Source organism: Homo sapiens, chromosome 8, assembly GCF_000001405.40.
Source record: "Homo sapiens chromosome 8, GRCh38.p14 Primary Assembly".
NCBI classification, from domain to species: Eukaryota; Metazoa; Chordata; class Mammalia; order Primates; family Hominidae; genus Homo; species Homo sapiens.
In genome coordinates, this window is record NC_000008.11 from 19,870,785 (window position 1) to 19,893,841 (window position 23,057).

Consider the following 23,057-nt stretch of genomic DNA (forward strand, 5'->3'; position numbering starts at 1 on the left):
TCAAGGAAAACCAGCACATTTGTACAGACACACCCTGTTTACTTACCGACTTAACCTGACTTCATTACAAAGTACCAATGTTGGAAGACAGAAATGCTATTGGTTATGACAACACAATTTGGACTCTAAGTTGATGCTGATTATAAGGAGTACGATTATGAGGACTGAATCGGTTTTACCTAATTTCATCCCCACTAGCTCTACATGATACTGAAGCTAGATCTTGAAGCAATAAAAAAGACTGATCAACTGAGCAGTGGTTTCTGAATGCCTCTCATCTATACTTGCCTTATCAATGCCTGTCCTTTCTGACCCCTGCAATTTGCTCACTTCCTCACCCGGCTCCCTCTGCCAACTTGCTCTGCCACCTGGACTTCATGTTCAGCTCACCTGTCATCCACTCCCTGACAGCTGTCTCTCCTTTCCTCTAATGCACCCACTCACATCACTCTCTCTGCCTCACCTACTCTTTGCTCCATTTAGCAAACAACATTTTTTCCAACATTGTCTATTTCTGCTTTGAACTATCTGATGCTTTTTCTTCCAGTCCATTTTTTTTTTTTCTCTGCATTGGTAATTGTGTGTCTTGGTCTCTTTCTGTGGGTTAGGGTCAGGGTCAGGGTCAGAGGCAGAGTTTTCCATATTTCTTTCCGGTGGCCACCCCTCTCAGCCATACTTTGCATTCTTTCTTTCATTGCCTGGGGCATTCTCATGGATTCAGTGACATTTCAGCTGTCAATACTGTGAAAACAGTGAACCACCTAGACAAAGGAAAATCACCATGGTGCTTACAATAAGCATTTGGTGAGTATAGAAACTAAAGAAGGCCAGGCAGGGTGGCTCACGCCTGTAATCCCAGCACTTTGGGAAGCTGAGGCAGGAGGACTGCTTGAGCCCAGGAGTTTGAGACCAGCCTGGGCAACATAACAAGATCCCATCTCTACAAAAAATACAAAAAAAAAAAAAAAAAATTAGCTGGGCATAGTGGTGAGCGCATGAAGTCCCAGCTACTCAAGAGGCTGAGGCGGGAGGATCAGCTGAGCCTAGGAGGTTGAGGCTGCAGTGAGCCATGATCACGACTCTGCATGACAGAGTGAGACCCTGTCTCAAAATAAACAAACAAACAAACATAACTTAAAAAAAATAGCTGATACTGAGTAACTTGGTATTGGTTAATGGCAGAGGTATTTTTGCCTCTGTTTTAAAAATGAGATGTGTAAATGACGAGATCTGGGCTAAATATGGACCAGCTGGGATTAGAATTAGAACGAACAGGGAAGTATGAGACAGGTGACCTCGCTGCCAGCTCTACTCCTCACAGATGGGTGACCCCAAGGCTCTTTTAACCTCGGCTTCTCAGGACTCAAAAGAGACATGGTAATATACATTTCTGAAGCCACATTCCTTGGACCAGGGGAAATATTGATTTCCTGTCTGTTTTTAAGATTTGTAATTTTAACATGTGGCTTTTACAATTCCCTTAAATTGGCACACAATAAAGAGCTTCTGGAAAAAAAGGGAACTTATTTACTCAGTGATTAAAGGATCATTATATATAAATATAAGGATATCCTTTGTCCCAGTAGAGGAAATTGGGGGAATTTGGCTCCATGATATGGTGATAAGAAATAGAACTTTGTGCTTTCTGAGACAATGACCCAGGCATTGACTCAGATCTGCACATAGAACTCACCTGTTTCCAAAAGTGGGTCTGGTCCATAGAGCTGTTTGGAATCATTCCATTTCTTCCACAGTCACTGGGTGGGATTATGAAATCTCTCCCTTAATGTGTGTATGTTTATTCACTCGAAAACACTTGTACTCATGAATAAATGTGTGTGCAGGAATTTTGCTCACTTCTGGTTATTTCTTGAGACATGGAACAAAGAGACATGGACTTGCTTTCCATGAAGCAGAGAGAGCAGAGAGGAGCTTTAGAAACTGGCATTAAGAGGCTTAAAAACTGGAAATGGGGAAAGATATATTAGTCCATTTTCACACTGCTGTATACTACCCAAGACTGGGTAATTTATAAATAAAAGAGGTTTAATTGACTCACACTCCACATGGCTGAAGAGGCCTCAGGAAACTTACAATCATGGCGAAAGGTGAAGGGAAAGCAAGGCAAGTCTTGCATGGCGGCAGGAGACAGAGAGAAGGGGGAAGTGCCAGACACTTATCAAACAGCCAGATCTCATGAGAACTCACTCACTATCATGAGAACAGCATGAAAGAAACTGCCCCATGATCCAATCACCTCCCACCAGGTCCTTCCCTCCACACGTGGGGATTACAATTTGGATTACAATTCGAGATGAGATTTGGGTGGGGACACAGCCAAACCATATCAAGGGGTTTCTCTCCTTGACATCTAACACAACACAAGTTGCCACACCAGCCAGGTCTGCTCAATTGTGTTTTCTCCTTTTTTTCCCTTTGACTCAATAAAATTAAGTATTAAAAAAAAAAAAACTGGTCTTGGTAACACCCGTATTATGTATTATGTGGACTAAAATAAAGTTGACATATATTCTTACTTTCCACACGTGCTTGTGAAGCACCACATGTGCAAGGCATTGCTCTCGGTGTTAGGGATACAGCAGTGATACAGGCAGGCAGAATAACTCAGCAGGAGCTTGCATTCTGGGAAGGGGAGATAATCAATCAATCTATCATTCAGTCAGTCAGTCAATCAATCAGTAACTAGCAAGAAAAATTTCAGATAGTGGTGAGTGAGTACAGATATGTAATGACTAGACTGGACAGCTACTTTATGTGTTTAAGTAGACATTTTAGGCTGAGATTGTGTGAGAGGAGAATATCTTGGGCCCCCAAAATCACTAAGCTAACAGGAAAATTCAAGCTGGGAACTGCTCAAGGCAAGTCTGCCCCCCATTTCTATTCAAAGTCACTCTGCTCACTGAGACAGATGCATATGCTGATCTGGAAAGGCTTCTCAGAAACTCAAAGAATGCAACCTACCGGTGATCTGGAAGTCCCTTCCCTGCTTCAAGTTGTCCCCGCCTTTCTGGATGGAACCAACGTACTTCTTACTTATATTGACTGATGTTTCATGTCTTGCTAAAATGTGTGAAACCAAACTGTGCCCCGATCACCTTGGGTACATGTTGTCAGGACTTCCTGAGGCTGCGTCATGGGTGTGTGTGTGTCCTCAGCCTTGGCAAGAGAAACTTTCTAAATTAACTGAGACCGGTCTCAAATTTTCAGGTTTCACAACTGGAATAAGAATGATGATTATAATGATATTGGAGGAAGATGCATTCCAAGCATACTGAATTGATGGTACAAAGATGCACAACCAAACCTAGACCCTCAGTCAGGCCCCTATATCTGGAGCGAGCTCTCAAAAGGGGAGGGCAGTGGTGAAAGAGGGAGAAATCAGGCTGTGTCAGACTTAGTCACTCCACAAGTTTTGATGCTGGCATTTTTTATGTTTGTGCATACACAGGCAAAGATCTGTACATTACAAATGCTCTCTGGCCAACAGCAATGTAAGATACATCCCAATTTCATAGTTGCCAAAACATTTAAAAAAAGTATGCCTTTGAATTAATAAAATATACTCCTTTAGATGTATTGCAGGAAGTTCTTTGTTGCAGAATGTTTGAAGTCATTTTAATGGAACTCTATTTTAAGCTGTCTTTGTTCAACCTTTTGTGAAGTGAACTATCACTTTCTTGTTTTCCTTTGTTATAAATCCAGGTACTTAGAATGAAGCTCAAATATAATGAGAATGCTAGCCCAGCATGGTGAATAGATTATTTTAAGAGTAATTGGAGCACCTAAAAAACCAAGTCTAAATTGCTGAAACTGAAATTGAAATCAAATTTAAGATAAGATGCTCAGAAAAGCTTACCAACCTCACTTTAGGGTACAAAGATAAAGCTTTATCAGAGACTTTATTAAGTCTTAGTTGCTATGTAAGTTCAATTACTCAAGATAAGATGTCTAAATGCTTAGTATTAAGAGAAGTAACAGACTTACTGCTTTAAAAATAGGTGTAGATTAGGATGACTGACCTGGAACAAGAAGCTAGACTTGTCAGCAAGAAATTTGGGGATCAGATTGTTTTGTCCATTCTTTTCCTATTCCCTTCCAACTTCAGAAGCCAGAGAGATATGCCACAAGTGAGGAAAAGCTAACAAGTTTCTAGATTACTCAAAATGAATTGTGGAGAGTTCGCAAACTTGAAAATACAGGTAATCAGCCCAATATCACCTTTCCCCAGCTATCCTGGTATTTAATTCTTTGTGAACAATGCTAAGCTTTGTATGATTTTGGTTTGCTAGTACACCATAACCCTGAAATCTATTTCTAGTTGAAAGCACTATATGTTTAAGTGTGAAATGAACTTAGAGGGTAGAAACAGCCTTGTATTCTAGTTTGGTATAATACATAGAATAATGTGGCCCAAAAGGTGGGTGGAACATTTTGGGTGTACAGCTTATTTCGCCACCCAGGTAATAAGCATAGTGCCTGATAGGTAGCTTTTCAATCCTCACCATCTCCCACCTTTCACCCTCACGTAGGCCCCGGTGTCTGTTGTTCTCTTATTTGTGTCCATATGTACTGAATGTTTAGCTCCCACTTATAAGTGAGAACATGTGGTATTTGTTTTTTTGTTCCGGTGTTAGTTTGCTTAGGATAATTGCCCCCAGCTCCATCCATGTTGCTGCAAAAAACATGACCTCATTCTTTTTTTATGGCTGTGTATTATTCCATGGTGTATAAGTACTACATTGCCTTAATCCAGTCCGCCATTGATGGGCATCTAGGTTGATTCCATGTCTTTGCCATTGTGAATAGTGCTGCAATGAACATATGCATGCCTGTGTGTTTATGGTAGAACGATTTACATTCCTTTGGGTATACAGCCAGTAATGGGATTGCTTGCTGGGTCAAATGGTAATTCTGTTTCACATTCTTTGAGAAATTGCCAAATTGCTTTCCACAGTGGCTGAACTAATTTGCATTCCCACCTTGAGTTCATTGGTTTAACACAGTGTTTCCTACAAGGCTGAAGCTCCAGGGGCAGTGGAGAGAGGCTGCACTGTCATCTCGGGGCTGGAGTGGCCACTCTGACCCTGACGTCCACATACTTGCCTCCTTTCAGTGAGACCCCTCTCCTCTCTGAGGCTCAGACCTGACTCTTTAGAATTTTTATTTCTTATTTATTTTTATTGCTATTTTATTTTAACCAGTCTATTCATTAGACTTTCACCTAATTCTATTTTCAACTACAGCTTTCTAGAACATTCTGTGCAAACTCAGACTGATTTTGTATGTCCAGCCTTCAGCTAGAAAAAAAAAATCTTTCTGCATTTTTCCCCTGCTCCACTCTGGATACTTCCACACTGTGCTGCAAGGATAGCTTTTGAGTGCCGGTAATTAAGTCCCCCTAACCTAAGTAGGGGTGGGGGTCTGAGCTGGGTGGAGCCAGCAGGTAGATGCTGTCATCTCACGGCTTTCGATGGATAATTCTGGATGGCATTCTGCATGCTTCTTAGGAGATCACAGGATCATCAAGCTCTCATTGCTCCCAACCACAACCTCCCATCAGGCATACTTATATTAGCTTTCCTCTTTCCCTCTTCACTCTCCACTCCCTTACTCCTGCTTCCTGAGATCACCTCCAGTATCAGAGTTTTATTGCTGCATTACAGATTACCACCTATTTATTACCTGTATCAGATGCATTACCTGTTCTGTAGGTCAGAGGTCTGACTGGGATTGACTGGGTTCTCAGGTTAGAATAGTGCAAGGCTGAGATCAAGTCTCCACCAGGCTGGGCACTTCTCTGGAGGCTTTGGGGAAGAATCTGCGTCCAAGATTGTTCAGTTTGTTAGCAGAATCCAGTTTCTTGCAGTGGTGGGACTGAGGTGCCTGCTTCCTGACTGTCAGCCAGGGGGTCATTCTCAGCTCCTTTCTGCCTGTCTCCCTCCATTTCCAAAGCCTGTCATGGCATGTCAGTTCCTTCCTGGGTTTTGAATCTGTCTTCCCCTTTTGCAATCAACTGGAGAAAACTTTCTGCTGTTAAAGGGCTCATTTCTTAGATTAGGCCTACCTAGACAATCTCCTTTTTGATTAACTCAAAGACAGCTGATTAGCAACTCAATCACATCTGCAAAGTCCCTTTGGCAATATAATGTTAACATAATCCCCATCATGCTATCTCAACCATATTCACTGTTCCAGAAATTAGAATGGGAAATTTTGAAGGATAATCTTTAGAATTCTGCCACCGCACCTCCAAACTAACATACTTGTACTCAAACCCTTGCCTCAAGCTCTGCATTCAGGGGAACCCAAAATAAGATATTCCATAAATAACAAATGACTACTCTTTAAAATTCTGGTTGAAGCTTTTGACTATTCCAACATAATTCAAGATTTTAGAGATGTTTTCTAATTTTGTTGTCATTTTCATTTCTGAAAACTTGTAAGAGAAATAAGCATAATAATTAAACAATTTCTCAAGCTTCCTTAAGAACATCTGAGCTATTTGAATCTAAGAATGTTAGTTCCTTCTCTTTTGGTCTTCTAATTTTATAGTACGTCTCACTTCATATTTTATATTCTTCCTTTTTTCAATATTGACTGCATTTATCTCACTTACTCTTCCCAAGAAGCCTGAGGGATTTTATTACCCTGATTTTATAGACAGAAACTGGGTCTCAGCCAGTTTCAAAATATTTCTCAAGGTCACATAGCCAGTCATGGCAGACACTGGATGACAATCCAGTTCTGTCTGATGCCAGATGCCTATTCCTTCCACTTTGCTGGCTTCTAAAATTGAGAAAATTAAGTACGTAACCTGAGAAGAGGCAGGTTTGCATGGCCCTACATAGAAATACACATTAAGTGGTTCAGTTAGAGAAAATAATGGCATGCAATGCACACTGGCTTTATAGGAAATATAGGGCATAGCACTGATCACATACCATAATCCTGATTTTTCTCTAAGACCTCCTTCTTCTAGAAAATTCAACGAATCTCAGAGAACATAAACACAGCCCTGTAAGAGTTTCTATGGTTCCACTTAAGCAAAACTGTTCATTAAACATCAAGCTCTTGTTTTTAGAATAAAAATACTCAAGAGTAAATATTTCCCCAAAGGGATCACTTTCTAGACAATTTTACAGGCTATTCTTTGTGAAGGAAATTTAGAAAGCATAAACCACACAAAAGCCAAAGTAAAATCTTTGGAATTTCATTCACTTCAACTAATAGCCTGAGAGCTTAGTTAGCAGGACACTTAATTTTGAAAAAGAACTTCTCTAAAACAGAAAGTAGATTGCATTGAAAAATGGGTAGTTGCTTTCAAAGTTGTTTCTGCTTAGTAAACTTTTATTTTCTAGAGGAGACTTATTATCCTATCAAGAATCAAAGTTAATTTTGACAAGACTAGGATTTTCTCTGAACTCCAACTAAATCAAAGGAAGAAAGAATGAAAGGAAGGGAGGGGAGAAGGAGGGATGAAACAAAGAAAGGAAGGTAGGCTGGGCGCTGTGGCTTATGCCTGTAATCCCAGCACTCTGGGAGGCCCAGGCGGGTGGATCACGAGGTCAGGAGATCGAGACCATCCTGGCTAACACAGTGAAACCCCATCTCTACTAAAAATACAAAAAATTAGCCAGGTGTGGTGGCTGGCTCCTGTAGTCCAAGCTACTTGGGAGGCTGAGGCAGGAGAATGGCGTGAACCTGGGTGGTGGAGCTTACAGTGAGCCAAGATCGGGCCACCGCACTCCAGCCCGGGTGACAGAGTGAGACTCCATCTCAAAAAAAAAGGAAGAAAGAAAGGTAGGAAGAAGAAAAGAAGGAAAGAAGAAAGAAAAAGAGGTAAAGAGAGATGGAAGGAGGGAAGGACAATTGAAGAGGAGATTCTTGTTTATTAATAAAGCACAATAACGGATGACTTACTTTAAAATTTGTGATGGCTTTAATATGTCATCATTACAGTTAACCCTAGAGCCACACTGGTTTGAACCATGTGGTTCCACCTATAGGTGAATTTTCTTCCACTTTTGCCACACCTGAGACAGCAAGATCAACCCCTCCTCTTCCTCCTCCTCCTCAGCCTACTCCAGTGATGGTGAAGGCCTTTATGATGATCCACTTTCACTTAACAAATAGTGAATACTTTTTCTCTTCCTTAAGATTTTCTTAATAACGTTTTCTTTTCTCTAGCTCACTTACTGGAAGAATACAGTATATAATACGTGTAACATACAGAACATGTTATTGGTAAGGCTTCTGGTCAACAGTAGGCTGTTAGTATTTAAGTTTTGGGGGAGTCAAAAGTTATACATGGATTTTTGACTAGGTGGGGGATTGGTACCCCTAACCTGCATGTTGTTCAAGGGCCAACTGTGTTTTTGTTTTGGAAGTAGGTGTCTACACACACAAGTAAATGATAGAAATGTGAAGTGCTTTCAAATGCCAAATATTCTGAGAGAAGAGAACGCCTAGATTCATTACCCTCATTTGTCTTCACAGTGAAGGAGAATGTGAACGCTATATTTACAGTGTTGGCACCATTTGAGCTTCGACTGTAAGTTTCGTGGTGAATATTCTAGGGCCTCAAGGCTCAGGATCTGGAATGCTCACATGAAGAGCAGAGCAGGAACCAACACAGGGAGCACACGGCTTTGCCTCTAATTCTTCTGCTAAGCAGACACTTCTTGAGTATCATCTTTTCTTCTCTGGGGTTCCTGGCACTGAGGCAAATGCATTGCAGTTCGCTCTTTAGTGAAAATGTCCTGCTGCCTTCAAGGTTCTTCCCTGTTTCTCATCTCAGCTCTGCAGCTTCTCTCCTCCACCCCTACCCTTGCCAACATGCCAAAGATGCTTCTGTCTTTCCCAAATAAGCATCTTTTACATGTATTTGCCAAGAGGATAAAGACAGGTATTAAATTTCTCAGTAGTTGCGATGACCTGAATGTTTGTGTCCCCATAGAATTTAAATGCTGAAATGCTAACCCCCTCAAGGTATGATATTAGGAGGTGGGGCCTTTGAAAGGTGCTTAGGTCATGAGGGTGTAGCCCTCATGAATGGGATCAGCACCGTTATAAAAGGAACCCCCAGAGAGCTCACTCATCCTCTTTCTGCCACATGAGAATACAGAGAGAAGCTGGTCACCTACAAGCCATGAAGCGGACCCTCATCAGACACCGAATCTGCTGGCATCTTGATCTTGATCTTAGACTCCAGAACTGTGATAAATAGATGCTTGTTGTGTAAGCCATCAAGTTATGCTATTGGGTTACAGCAGCCAATACTAAGACAGGAATGTTCAGTTGAAAAGAACCTCACCATAAGAGAGCCATTCATAACGAGGAAGAGACATTGCCAATGGGAAGTTAGGAGTAAATGGAGGCTGTGGGAAGGTGTCAGGAGATTCAACAGAGTCCATTTTTTAATGGTTCCAGACTTGTAATATCAACTGGAAGAAAGTTTGGGGTCAGGATCTTTCAATATCCTTGATTCCAATCATTAGAGGACTTCCTACTGACCCCACCCATGCAGCCAGACTTTTTTACTCCTGCCACTTGTCACTTTTTCTCTCAGTTGCTTTTCTCCTCTTTTGAGGCTCTTCATATTTTTATTCCACCTCTCTCTTCAGTTCTAGGGTCCTCTCTCTTTCAGTATTTTCCAGACCCGTCTATCACAAGGAACAACACAGTGACCTGGAAAGTCTTGCTCGGGAAATCAAGAGGCCTGGCCTCTGGCTCTCAGCACTGTTACCCCTCACTAGGGATGAGTGCTGGGGAAACACAGTTCTCTGGGCCTCCCTTTTGTGGATGTTCTCTCTGTCCCTTTAGCACTAACATTGTGGAGTTCAGCACTTGGTTTATTTTATAACTACCATTTCCTTTCCTCTCAAGATTCCTAGCTAATTCAAATAATCAGTTAGTTGAAATAATCAAAAACATTGCTACTCAAGGAGAGGCCCCTGTGCGATTCATATGAGCATCACCGGGAAGCTTGTTAGAAATTCCAGTCCCAGCCCAGACCTACTGAGTCAGAACCTGTACTTTAGTGGGGTCCCAAATGATCTCTATGCACACTGAAATCTAGAAATTCTCTTCTCGAGAGGTGTTTGGGCACCAAGCGCAGAGCTCAGGAGCACAGTTCCTGGCAGTCCAAGGGAACAAGTCCTGCCGGGGCCACTGATGGAGGGTGTCCAGCAGATTCCAGGAAGCCCATTTTTTTCTGGTTGCAGCTTTTACCATTGACCTCAGTGACCCCACAGCTTCCTCCTGATGCCACACCTGGCATGATGCCACCATGCAAGATCCAAGAACACCTTTTACCAGGAACAAAGAGCCAAATGTACCTCCCAGGATAAAGGAGAAGCCAGTGACAAATGAGCATAAGAAAAAATAAGCCCATCCTTCCTGCTTCTTGCAGATTTTGTCTTCTACAAACAGCCTTCAGTTCTTTCTCTGGACTCCCATTTCTCCACTTCATCTTTCCAAAGGGGAGTACTGCTGGTGTGAATTCTCCCATCAGTTTCCTTTCTGACTTGTTTGAATCTAGCATTTTTAACAGTTTTCTTTGAAATAATATTCACTGAATGACATAATTATCAAAAACGAGTAAAGGTGGCCAAGATATCTGGCATATAAATCAAACTCTGGCCCGGCTTCTTTCTTGATACCAAAAGAATGCTGCTTTCCGTGCACCTGCCGGTCCCCCCACAGCAACGGCAGATGCTGCTGTGGATGCAGCGCCCCTGCTAATCCTGGATGTGAAGGTGAGAAACTCACTTTGGTTATTATTGGAGAAATAATTCCAGATTTCACCTGATCTCAAGTCACTCACAGCCTCAACCCCCTCTTCCCACAATACAAGAGAGAACCAGAAGTTATTTTTAAACTACTCTGAACTGCAGAAATAAACATTATATAAGCACCATGCATGAGGGTTGATGAATTTTATACCTTAGTCCCTCACTCAGAACTTATGTATTCTTGTTTGATACTTTGTTCTAATAAGCTTAGATATGTGATTTTGAAGCCATAATAAATTTTAAAAAAGACAGACTTACTACAGGTAAGTGCACTGTGACTACTATTTGAGATCAAGGATGCAGGAAAAAAAGCAGAAATCCTATATATGCAAGTGCACACACACAAACAGTTGTTTGGGAGCATTTTATTTAGGGACAAAGATCCATTCCTATACTTGTCCCTGCGAATATTATTGTTACAACTCAGTATCTCAATTTATATTCTTTTACTTTTTTAAAAAACAGAGATGAGGTCTTGCTATGTTGCCTAGGCTGGTCTCAAATTCCTGGCTTCAAGTGATCCTCCCACCTCAGCCTCCTAAAGTGCTGGGATTACAGGTATGAGACACCACACCCAGCCTCCAATTAATATATATTTTTTCGAGACATAGTCTTAGTCTGTCGTCCAGGTTGGAGTACAGTGGTGCAATCTAGGCTCATTGCAACCTCTGCCTCCTGGATTCAGGTGATTCTTGTGCCTCGGCCACCTGAGTAGCTGGGATTACAGGCGTGAGCCACCACATCCTGCTAATTTTTCTTTTTTTTTTTTGTATTTTTAGCAGATGCCATGTTGGTCAGGCTGGTCTCAAACTCCTTACCTCAAGTGAGCCGCCTGCCTCAGCCTCCCAAAGTACTAGGATTACAAGCATTAACCACTGCACCCAATAATGCTGAGTCTTGCCCCAAATGTGAAATCTTCAGCAGTAATAAAAAAAGACAGGTAAGCATAAATTATAGTTAAACTGTAAAAAAGTATGACCATAGCATAAATGCAATTTAGACAAATTTCCATTGGAAATAGTTAAAATTATGTTTTGAGGTGCAATTTAAGGATTCTGACTACATAAAGTTTGACAGCACCTTAAAAATGTTAAAGAGGTTCTCATGTGCATTTTCTGTTATCCAAATGGGTTAGCAAAAACTTGAGATGAGTTTGATTAAACAGCTCAAGGAAGATACATGGATTTCTAAGCACAAGGCAAGGAATCACCTCGAAGAAGTCAGGATGATTCATATGACTCTGTGAAATTTTGGATAAAATATTTTAGAGTGCATTAGGGTTTTCCAGAGAAAACAGAGCCAATATGATGTATATATGTAGAGAAAGAGATATATTATGAGGAATTGGTTCATGCAATTATGGAGGCTGATAAATCACAAGATCTGCAGGGTGAATTGGCTGGAGACCCAGGAGAACCGATGCTTTGTTTCTAATCTGAGGCCACAGGCCTGGGAACCAGGAGAGCTGATGGTGCAATTTTAGTCTCAAGGATGGCAGGCTTGAGACCCAGGAAGAACCAATGTTTCAGTTCAAGTTCAAGTCTGAAGGCAGAAAAAAGGCTGATGTACCAGAGTGAAGATGATCACATAGAAGGAGAGCATTCTCTCCTTCTCAGGGAGGGTCAGCCTTTTTGTTCTATGCAGGCCTTCAACCCACTAGATGAGGTCCACCCACATTAGAGTGGGCAATCTGCTTTACTCAGTTTCCCCACTTAAACATCAATCTCATGAAAAGCACGCTCACAGAAACACCGAATATCTGGGAACCCCACGGTCCAGTCAAGATACGCATGAAATTAACTGTCACATAGGAATATGACAGTAAGAACAAATGTATGTAGAATCATATCCCTCAGGCTAGAAGGAACTTAGCAATTACTTCGTTCAACTACCAATATAATATTCCAGATCTTACTGCATCCCTGATAAATTATTCTTCAACCAAGATTTAAACAGCTTAGGGGTAGAGGAATAATTACCTCTATTTAGAGTGCATTCATCTTTGAGTAATTCTCTTAGAACACTAGTTTATATACCGAGGTACAATCAATATCCTTTCAGCACCTAAAAATAACACCTAGTTTTACCTTTTTTTTTTTTGGTCTTCTTTAGTGGGGAAAAATCTCAGGAATAGGACTAAGGAGAGGTGAGGTTACTCTCTTCCAATATTTCAAGACATTATTTGATAGAGAAATTGTACTTGTGATTTCTGAGTAAAAGGTATGGAAAGGCAAAAAGAAACATTTAAATAACCATTACTGTCCAACCATGTAATAAACTGCCTGGAGAAACCCTGAGTTTCCCACTATTGGAGGCATTCTAATTTAGGCTTGGCCACCGATTGTCAGAGTACCATATAAAATGTTTCTTGGCCGGGCATGGTGGCTCACGCCTGTAATCCCAGCACTTTGGAAGGCTGAGGTGGATCACTTGAGGTCAGGAGTTTGAGACCAGCCTGGCCAACATAGTGAAACCCATCTCTACTAAAAATACACAAAAAAATTAGCTGGGTTTAGTGGTGCATGCCTGTAATTCTAGCTACTTGGGAAGCTGAGGCAGAAGAATTGCTTGAACCTGGGAGGTGGAGCTTGCACTGAGCTGAGATTGTGCCACTACACTCCAGCCTGGGCGACAGAATGAGACTCTGTTTTTCAAAAAAAAAAGCTTCTATATTACATGGAAGATTGTGTTTTACAAACTCGAACTTACTCTTACTTATGCTATTGTGTCTTCTGGGTTACAACTTCTCAATACTCAGCATTTTAATAATAATAATAAATCACTAAGACTTATTTAGTGCTTGTTGCACCACGCATGTACCAAGCATTTTACATGTATGATCTTACTTAATCGTTTCAACAACTCTATGACAGAGATGATGGTGTTAGTATTCTCATATGATGAATCAGAAAACCAAGACTTACAAAGATTAAGAATCCTGTCTTCAAATTATACAGATTATGAACCAGTGGTTGCCAAGGCTTGGCAGTGAGGGGAGGGGTTGATTACAAAAGCACACCAGAGAAGTTTTCTGGATGATGGAACTGTTCTATATCATGATGGCTGAATGCATTGATCAAAACTCATACTAACATGGGTAAATTTTACTATGCAAATTACATCCCAATCAACCTGAGTTTTAAAATCTTGCCTTTGATCCTACAGCTACTTAAAGCCCTTGTGTGTGTTAGCATATTTGCAAGTTTGGATTCTGAAGTTACTTGCTTTTTGCCCAAGGCCTATAATTTGGGTAAAGTGTCACATTTGCGACAGTGGTGCTTTGCCTAAGTTCACAGTTTATGCGGCCAGTACTCCATGGGGATTTCCATGTCCAAATAACTTTATCAAATTGTACTGTATTTGTCACTGTATTCATCTTTGTAATTCGCTTTTTAAGGCATGGTTTCCAACGTGGCTACACTCAGATTAACTGGAAAGCAAAGAGACATTTTCTTTATCTCTATAATTATAATCTCTATAAATAGATTATAATTTCTATAATTATAATTTCTATAAATAGAAAGGTAATATCTTTCATAGTACCTGTTTCAGGCACAGGGATTATTTTCTTCAATAAATAACATGAGGGGAACTGAGATTTGGATTCAGCATAAAGGAGCATTTCAGATGGTCACTGCTGCTCAGAGGTGAACCAGGTGCCCACCAGAGCAAGGGTGGCTTACGTCAGAGAACAGAGTATTTCTAAAATCACCTTTAACTGAATTTACCCAAGTCCCCACCCTGCCCCCAGAGACTCAGTGATTTCTCTAAAGGCATAGGGAAAATGGACTCAATGGATTTATAAATATAGAACACTCTGAGAGATAAGAGGGACACCTCTGGCTTTGCTTCTATTCCCACTCGGCTTTCCTTCTGTGCCCACTTTCCCTTCCACTCGGCTTTCCTTCTGTGCCCACTTTCCCTTCCCTTCCTTTCCCTTCCCTTCCCTTCTCCTTTCTCCCTTCTCCCTTCTCCCTCTTCCCTCCTCCCTCCTCCCTTTCCTTCTTTTCTCTTCTTTTCTTTGAGACAGAGTCTGGGTCTGTTGTCCAGGCTGGAGTGCAGTGACTCACTGCAGCCTCAACCCCCTAAGCTCAGATAATCCTTCCACTACATCCTCCCAAGTAACTGGGACCACAGGGGCACCTCCACGCCCAGCTAATTTTTTTGTATTTTTAGTAGAGACGGGGTTTCATCATGTTGCCCACGCTGGTCTGGAACTCCTAGGTTCAAGCAATCCTCCCACCTCAGCCTCTCAAAGTGCTGGGATTATAGGTGTGAGCCACTGTGCCTGGCCTTTGCCCTCTTTTCTTTTGTGAACATGGAGATTCCTCCTGAGGGTAGTTTAAAGGCAAGATTTTGAGACAATTGGTGAATGAAGTCACTAGGCGTAATCAATTTCATAAATGAAGAATATTTTTATAATTAACATGTCTAAAGATATTTTCTAATTGCAACTGAAAGTTGTTAGATGTTAAAATAATCTAAGGTGATGAGTATTTATCAGTAAAGACAGAAAAGAAGGGATAAGGGTAAGTGCCACCTAAGCTGTGAAATATTTTGAAAAGCAAAAAAGTATCATTCTTACTCTGTTCACATACATTTTGGAAGCCCATGTCAGACCTGGGCATACTGCACTGGTCCCTGAAACTCTCTAGTGTCAATGTGACCATAGACTAAACATGGCCATGAGTGCAGGATGCCGAAATCTTCACAGCACCGCAGCCCTGAGAGAGAAAGAGTGATTAGATACTTGGTGCTCAAGGACGGAGACTCACAGGATATGGGGTTGGCAACTCTCTGCAGCAACAGGTGCCCAGACCACTGCAAGGCAGGTGGTGCGACTTAGGGAAACTCAGCCAGGCGTCTGAGATTCTCCTCCCACCAGAGTTCATGACCCTAAACAACCCACTGTGTGTCCGGCTTCCATTTCTTACCTGCAACATGAGATGTACAGAACTCCTGGAGCAGATTTCAGGATAAATCTGGAAACATTTGAATAGCTCATGTATTAAACATTTTAAATTAAATTTTGGTCTGACATTAGGGTTTCTGGAAGTTTCCTAGTTTTCAACATTTGCATGGAGTTTGAAATGTCAAACCATTGTGAAAATGTCTTCCACAGTTTCCAATGTCTAGCCAATCAGGCAAACAGCAAGCCAAGTGAATTGAGTAAGATAAAGACATTTTAAAATAGAATAATATTGCCCCATAGAACTTGTGTCACTGTTAAGACTGAGAAATATCAGAGAACAGTTTCTTAAGTTGCTCAATTGTGGTAGAAAAGGTTAAATAAAAGGGAAAAATTGCCTAATATGTACTCTCCTCCAAAACCTGAAAGTGGCAGGCACACAAGGCAGTACTCTAAAACCAGGAAGTCCTAAAATGAAAAAGTCCAGAAGTAGACATCCACTGGAGCAAACCACTACAAAACATGTGAAAATACAAAGTAAATTCTAGAGGAATCCAGGAAGTCAGAGAATTGCCTAGGCCAGTGTGAGCAAGATTTGACAGCACAAACTTATTCACACTATGAAAAGTGAATACAAGAGCCTAACGGTAAATGAACCTAATAATTTATTTATCATCATTTTTACTATTAATTTTGAGACAAGGTTTCACTCTGTCACCTAGGCTGGAGTACAGGGGTGCAATTATGGCTCATTGCAGTCTCGATCTCACCAGGCTCAGGTGATCCTCCCACCACAGTCTCCTGAGTAGCTGGAACTACAGGTGCATGACAGCATGCCTGGCTAATTTTTGTTATTTTTTGTAGAGAGAGTTTTGCCGTGTTGCCCAGGCTGGTCTTGAACTCCTGGGCTCAACCATCCTCCTGCCTTGGCCACCCAATATGCTGGAATTACAAGGGTGAACCACTGTGCCCAGCAATCATTATTAACAGTATGCCTTTTGGTATAGTGTTCTTACAAATTAAAAAAAAAAAGTTTTCACACCCATTCTCTTATTTGAGGCTCTGTAAAACTCTAAGGTAGTTAGAGTAGCCTTATTCTATTTAGACACCTGCCCCTGCCTCCCACCCCAGCTGCCAATGGGAATGGCCCACAGAAATCAACAAGAATGTCCTAGAGGTCAAGTGATGCTGTGTTAATCACAAGGCCAGCAAACAGGCACCTAACCCACTTCCATTCCTGGATCTAGCAAGAAGGAACACAGAAGCTCCAAATTCAAAGCTGCGTCTGTTGCATGTAGCCAGACATAAGTGGAAAAATTCAGTCTCTATTATTAGAAGGCCTGCACTTCGAAGCTGAGGCCTGAACAGATCCCAACCTTTTTTGGAAGCTGCTTTCTCTTACGTAAAACATAGACACTGGTAATCCTACTACCAACACTTGTGATAAGAACAGCATATATTTGTTCAACAATGTTTACATACCTACTGTGTAGACTTAGGCCAGGTACCAGAGAGATGGAGGTAAATATAGGAATAGGTTCCTCGCCAGGATTCTGTAGTCTAGAAGAGGACAGAGAAAAAACAGAAAGGTGTCTTGTGAACTAGAAAATCCTAAATGGGTTTATTAGTCCATTCTCTCACTACTATAAAGAAATACCCGAGACTGGGTAATTTATAAAGGAAAGAGGTTTAATTGACTCACAGTTCCACATGGCTGATGAGGCCTCAGGAAATTTACAATCATGGAGGAAGGCGAAGCAGGCACCTCCTTCACAAGGCTGGAGGAAAGAAGTGGAGTGAGTGAAGAGGGAAGGGCCCCTTATAAAACCAACAGATCTAGTGAGAACTCATTCTCATGAGAACAGCATGGGGGAAACCATCCCCATGACCCAGTAATTTCCCACCAGGCCCCGCCCTCGACGTGTGGGGATTATAGGGATTACAATTCGAGAGGAGATCTGTGTGGGGACACAGCCCAACCATATCAATGGGCAATCGCATTTATTTAAAGGAGATGGGAATGGTGGGCCTAGCTCAAATGTCAAAAGTGAGAAAAGGGAACTGGGTTTCCAAAGCCTCCTGTATGAAGCCGTGGCTTTGCTTCCTGCTTGTAGTGGCCCCTGGAGTCCTAACTGTGACTTCTATGTGTAAAATGGCTACAGAATTGGATTTATGACTATAAACATGTTATGTAAGGGAGGCAATGATTTAAGTGCAGCCAGGGTATTTTTACATTTCATGTGAAACTTGAAAGGTCACCTGAACCAAAGTTCAGGTCAAGACCCTCCAGCTCCTCTCCACCCACAGCTTTCCACACAAGATTTAGTTGAGATGTAAATACCAGAATCAAAACAGTTGCTGAGGCCTACCAGCACTTTGGGAGGTTGAGGCAGGAGGACCGCTTGAGCTCAGGGATTTGAGACCAGCTTGTGGAACATAGCAAGATCCCATCTCTGCCAAAAAAAAAAAAAAAAAAAAATTGCCCAGCATGGTGTTACATGCCTGTAGTCCAAGCTACTCAGGAAGCTGAGGTGGGAGGATTGCTTGATCCCAGGATTTCGAGGCTGCAGTGAGCTATGATCATGCCATTGCACTGTATGACAGAGCGAGACTCTGTCTCTAAAAACAAAACAAAAAACAAAAACCACTTGCTGAAAATGGGGCATGCTGAAAGGAAGATGAAACTGATTTTTATTTTCCTCCAGCATGTCAAGTTCTCGTAACATTCACCACACACTCAGACCTTTACAAACATGTGGAGTAGAAATGTGTAAGGGGAAAGGAGAAGGGGAGGAAAGTGTTGGGGACAGGTTATGTGGAGTTAGCTGCAAAAGTAGGAGTAGTAATTGGAAGCTAGGCCAGGTAAAAGGGCTGGAACGCCTGTGTCCCGCCATCGCAGGGGGACCACCACAGTTCAGGGCTCCAGGCCAGACCTTGGAATGGGAAGCCACCGTTTTCCTTGGTCACAGACAGCACCAGGACCTCAACAGTTCCTCTGCAGCCCACTATGGGACAGTGAAAAGAGTAATAGGATGAGGATCAGGAGGCTGGAGCTTCAGCACAACACAGCCATTACTTGGGCAAGTATGCGTCAAACACCAGGGCCTCAGTTTCCAGATGTGTGAAATGGGAGAGCGGGAGCAGATAAGATCAAGAGCCCCTCTGGCCCTCTGAGTTGTGGTGATGTCAGGATGGCATAATTCAAACACCAGGGACGTGTGTAATGAATAAGCTTCACTACGTACTAGCTGTGTGAATTTGGAAAAGTCACTAAACTTTTCTAAGCCCTACTTTCCTCAGAGTTAAATGTGGATGATGGTTCCTCTTAGGTGGAAGGGACTAAATGAGAGCATGCACACAAATCCCAGGGCATAGGGCTGGTGATGGTGGAGGTTAATTTGTTTCCATCCCCTCATTGGGGTCCTCTGGTGGGTGCCCTCTGAGAGTCCTGATTCAAATTCTAGCAGGACTTTGGAAGAGGGCATCCCACAGGGGAGCCCCAGGGAAAGAGGAGATGGAGTTTAGCCACCCAGCATGCCTTTTATTTTATTTTAGTTTTTGCTTTAGAAACAAGATCTTGCTCTGTTGCCCAGAATGGATGGAGTGTAGTGGCATGATCATAGTCCACTACACCCTTGAACTTCTGGGCTCAAGCAATCGTTTCACCTCAGTCTCTAGAGTAGCTGGGACAACAGGCGTGTGCCTCCACACCTGACTAATTCTTATCTTTTGTTCTGCTGCCCAGGCTGGTCTCAAATCCCTGGTATCAAGGGATCCTCCTGCCTTGGCCTCCTGAAGCACTGGGCTATAGGTGTGAACCACTACACCTGGTTCCCAGCATGCCTTTAAGCAAGTCCTGAGCATCAGTGAGCTTCACTTACCTTACATGCAAAATGAAGGTACTGGCTGGGCGCGGTGGCTCACGCCTGTAATCACAGCACTTCAGGAGGCTGAGGCAGACAGATCACTTGAGGCCAGCAGTTCAAGACCAGCCTGGCCAACATGGCGAAACCCTGCCTCTACTGAAAATACAAAAATTAGCTGGGCGTGGTGGCGCAGCTCTGTAGTCCCAGCTACTCAGGAGAGGCTGAGGCATAAGAATCACTTGAACCCAGGAAGAAGAGGTTACAGCAAATCGAGATTGCAGCACTGCACTCCAGCCTGGGTGACAGAGCGAGACTCTGTCTCTAAATAAATAAATAAAATAACATGAAGATACTATTTCTTGCCCTATCTACCTCTTAAGGCTATTGTGAGAGCAAACAGGATGCACATGGAATGTTCTTTGAATTCTAAAGAGGAATTCAAATGCCAGTGCAAGAGGAGAGTGAGGGATGGGTGTCTGCACCACTAAACGGCTTCCTGCTCACTTGGGGGACAGTGGCTGTGCATGCACCACCACAACTGGCTAATTTAAAAAAAACCCTTTTTTTTAGAGATGGGGTGTGCTATGTTGCTTAGACTTTTCTGAGAGACAAATTGGCTGTGCTTCCAACATGAAACGTATGTGCTAAGAAAATGCACGTAAAGAGTCCCAAGTTTGTGCCTCCCTGATCTCCAAGCCCTAATTCTACCCATTTTAAATTTTCCTCACTAGTCTCTGCTCTATGGCTTCTGGGCGACATGCCAACAGAGTCTCCATGCAAGACCCTTGGAACAAGTTACTCACTTCCTCTAAACGACTGATCACGAACATAATTAAATAGGGATTTGAATGAAAGAGCAGCTTGTGGGAAAGTGCAAAGGATGCCATCACACGTATTTCCTATTATTAGCTTGAATTTTAAATTTCCTTTAGGTGCCCCAAAGAAGGGAAACCTTCATTAGGCAGTGGAGATGTAGACAGATGGTCCAAAGGCCTTTGGAGCCTTCAGAAAATGGTGGCTGTCTCCCCTGACGTTTCGTTAGTCATCTTAGGCAGAAAAATAGGCACCTGGTATGGTATAAAGGGAACTTCATGGCAAAATGCACCTACAATTCGGTTGTAATTGATTAATTTACTTAACTGCCTTCTGGTCATTTTGAAACTTTCTCCACGTATATATTTACAACCCTGTGGCCATTATGTAATGATGACATAATTATTGGTAAGGTGTAAGGAAAATACGGGGTCTAGGATTGCAGTGGCGTGAAATTAGATGTCTGATGACCTGTCTGTACTATGCAATGAATCACCGTCATGAAGCAGAATTCACACATTGGGTTCAGTCACTGTACTACATGTATAGACTGAAAACTGGAAAAATATGCAAAGCTATCAAAAGGTTTACAAATATTCAGGTACTTGATGTCATATAGGTAACTTACCTCATAACTTCTATGTTGTCTTGGTGTAATACAGACAGACTCAAAGTCATGAGGCGGTAGGCTACGGCAGAATTTTTTTTAACTCCCAGCTGCAAAACGAAACCAATATCATAAAAATGATAGCTCCACTTACTAACTCCTTGGTAGTCAAATACATTGTACAAGAGCAGGCAGTCTTTTCATCTCTCTCTAGCATGTCTTCCCAAAACATGGGCTGATCCCATTGAAAAGCACCAAATTATAGAGACCTTCCAAGATTACTGGTCCAATCCCATATCTTAAGTGAGAACCTGATAGATTGTTAGCAGATTTTTGGCTAAAAACTTCAGCCATTTAAAAACAATCAAAATTTGCAGTGTTTGGAAAAATGAATTCTAGTTGATTAAATCTCCAAGGGCAAACATTTTTACAATGAAATATTTCAAAGTTCAGAATGGTTCCACAGCCACTGCAAAAACAAGAACCAAATATGAGTGCTCCCCGAAGAATTCTAAAAACAGAAAACCCAACTCAAACCAAAACGTGCACACAAAAAATATTACTGCCTTGCAAAACAAATATCCAAATCTATATTCAGTAACAACTCTGCTTTATAAAAATAAAATCTCCAAATTTGAGAATACATTATTTCCATGTAATGCAGTTATTCTTGACCTCTTATGCCATTTTGCCCATACTGCCCAAAGTAATTTATAGATTCAATGCTGTCCCCATCAAGCTGCCATTGACTTTCTTCACAGAATTAGAAAAAAACTACTTTAAATTTCATACGGAACCAAAAAAGAGACCGCATAGCCAAGACAATCCTAAACAAAAAGAACAAAGCTGGAAGCATCACACTACCTTACTTCAAACTACACTACAAGGCTATGGTAACCGAAACAGCAATGTACTGATATCAAAACAGATATATAGACCAATGGAACAGAACAGAGGCCTCAGAAATAGCACCACACATCTACAACCATCTGATCTTTGACAAACCTGACAAATACAAGGAATGGGGAAAAGATTCCCTGTTTAATAAATAGTGCTGGGAAAACTGGCTAGCTATATGCAGAAAACTGAAATTGGACCCCTTCCTTACGCCTTATACAAAAATTAACTCAAGATGGATTAAAGACTTAAACGTAAGACCTAAAACGATAAAAACCCTAGAAGAAAACCTAGGCAATACCATTCAGGACATAGGCATGGACAAAGACTTCATGACTGAAATACCAAAAGCAATGGCAACAAAAGCCAAAACTGACAAATGGGATCTAATTAAACTAAAGAACTTCTGCACAGCAAAAGAAACTACCATTAGAGTGAGCAGGCAACCTACAGAATGGGAAAAAATGTTTGCAATCTATCCATCTGAAAAAGGGCTAATATTCAGAATCTAAAAAGAACTTAAACAAATTTACCAGGAAAAAAAAATCAAAAAGTGGGCAAAGGATATGAACAGACACTTCTCAAAAGAAGACATTTATGTGGCCAATAAATATATAAAAAAAGCTCATCATCACTGCTCATTGGAGAAATGCAGATCAAAAACACAGTGAGATAACCATCTCATGCCTGTTAGAATGGTGATCATTAAAAAGCCAGGAAACAACACATGCCGGAGAGATGTGGAGAAATAGGAACGCTTTTACACCGTTGGTGGGAGTGTAAATTAGTTCAACCATTGTGGAAGACAGTGTGGCAATTCCTCAAGAATCTAGAACTAGAAATACCATTTGACCCAGCAATCCCATTACTGGGTATATAACCAAAGGATTATAAATCATTCTACTATAAAGACACATACACATGTACGTTTATTTCAGCACTCTTCACAATAGCAGAGACTTGGAACCAACCCAAATGCCCATCAATGATAGACTGGATAAAGAAAATGTGGCACATATACACAAGGGAATACTATGTAGCCATAAAAAAGGATGAGTTCATGTCCTTTGCAGGGACATGGACGAAGCTGGAAACCATCAATCTCAGCAGACTAACAGAGGAACAGAAAACCAAATACCGCATGTTCTCAC

The 23,057-nt window shown here is 41.7% G+C and overlaps 1 long non-coding RNA gene across 1 annotated transcript; it reads right to left on the reverse strand.

Moving 5' to 3' along the window:
• Positions 1-13,322: 13,322 nt before the first annotated feature.
• LOC105379309 (uncharacterized) lies at positions 13,323-21,119 on the reverse strand. The gene is made up of 3 exons (XR_001745699.2): positions 21,031-21,119; positions 17,426-17,501; positions 13,323-17,283 (listed from the first exon to the last, which is right to left on the reverse strand). It is a non-coding gene; the product is annotated as an uncharacterized LOC105379309 (long non-coding RNA).
• Between the last annotated feature and the right edge of the window lie 1,938 nt (positions 21,120-23,057).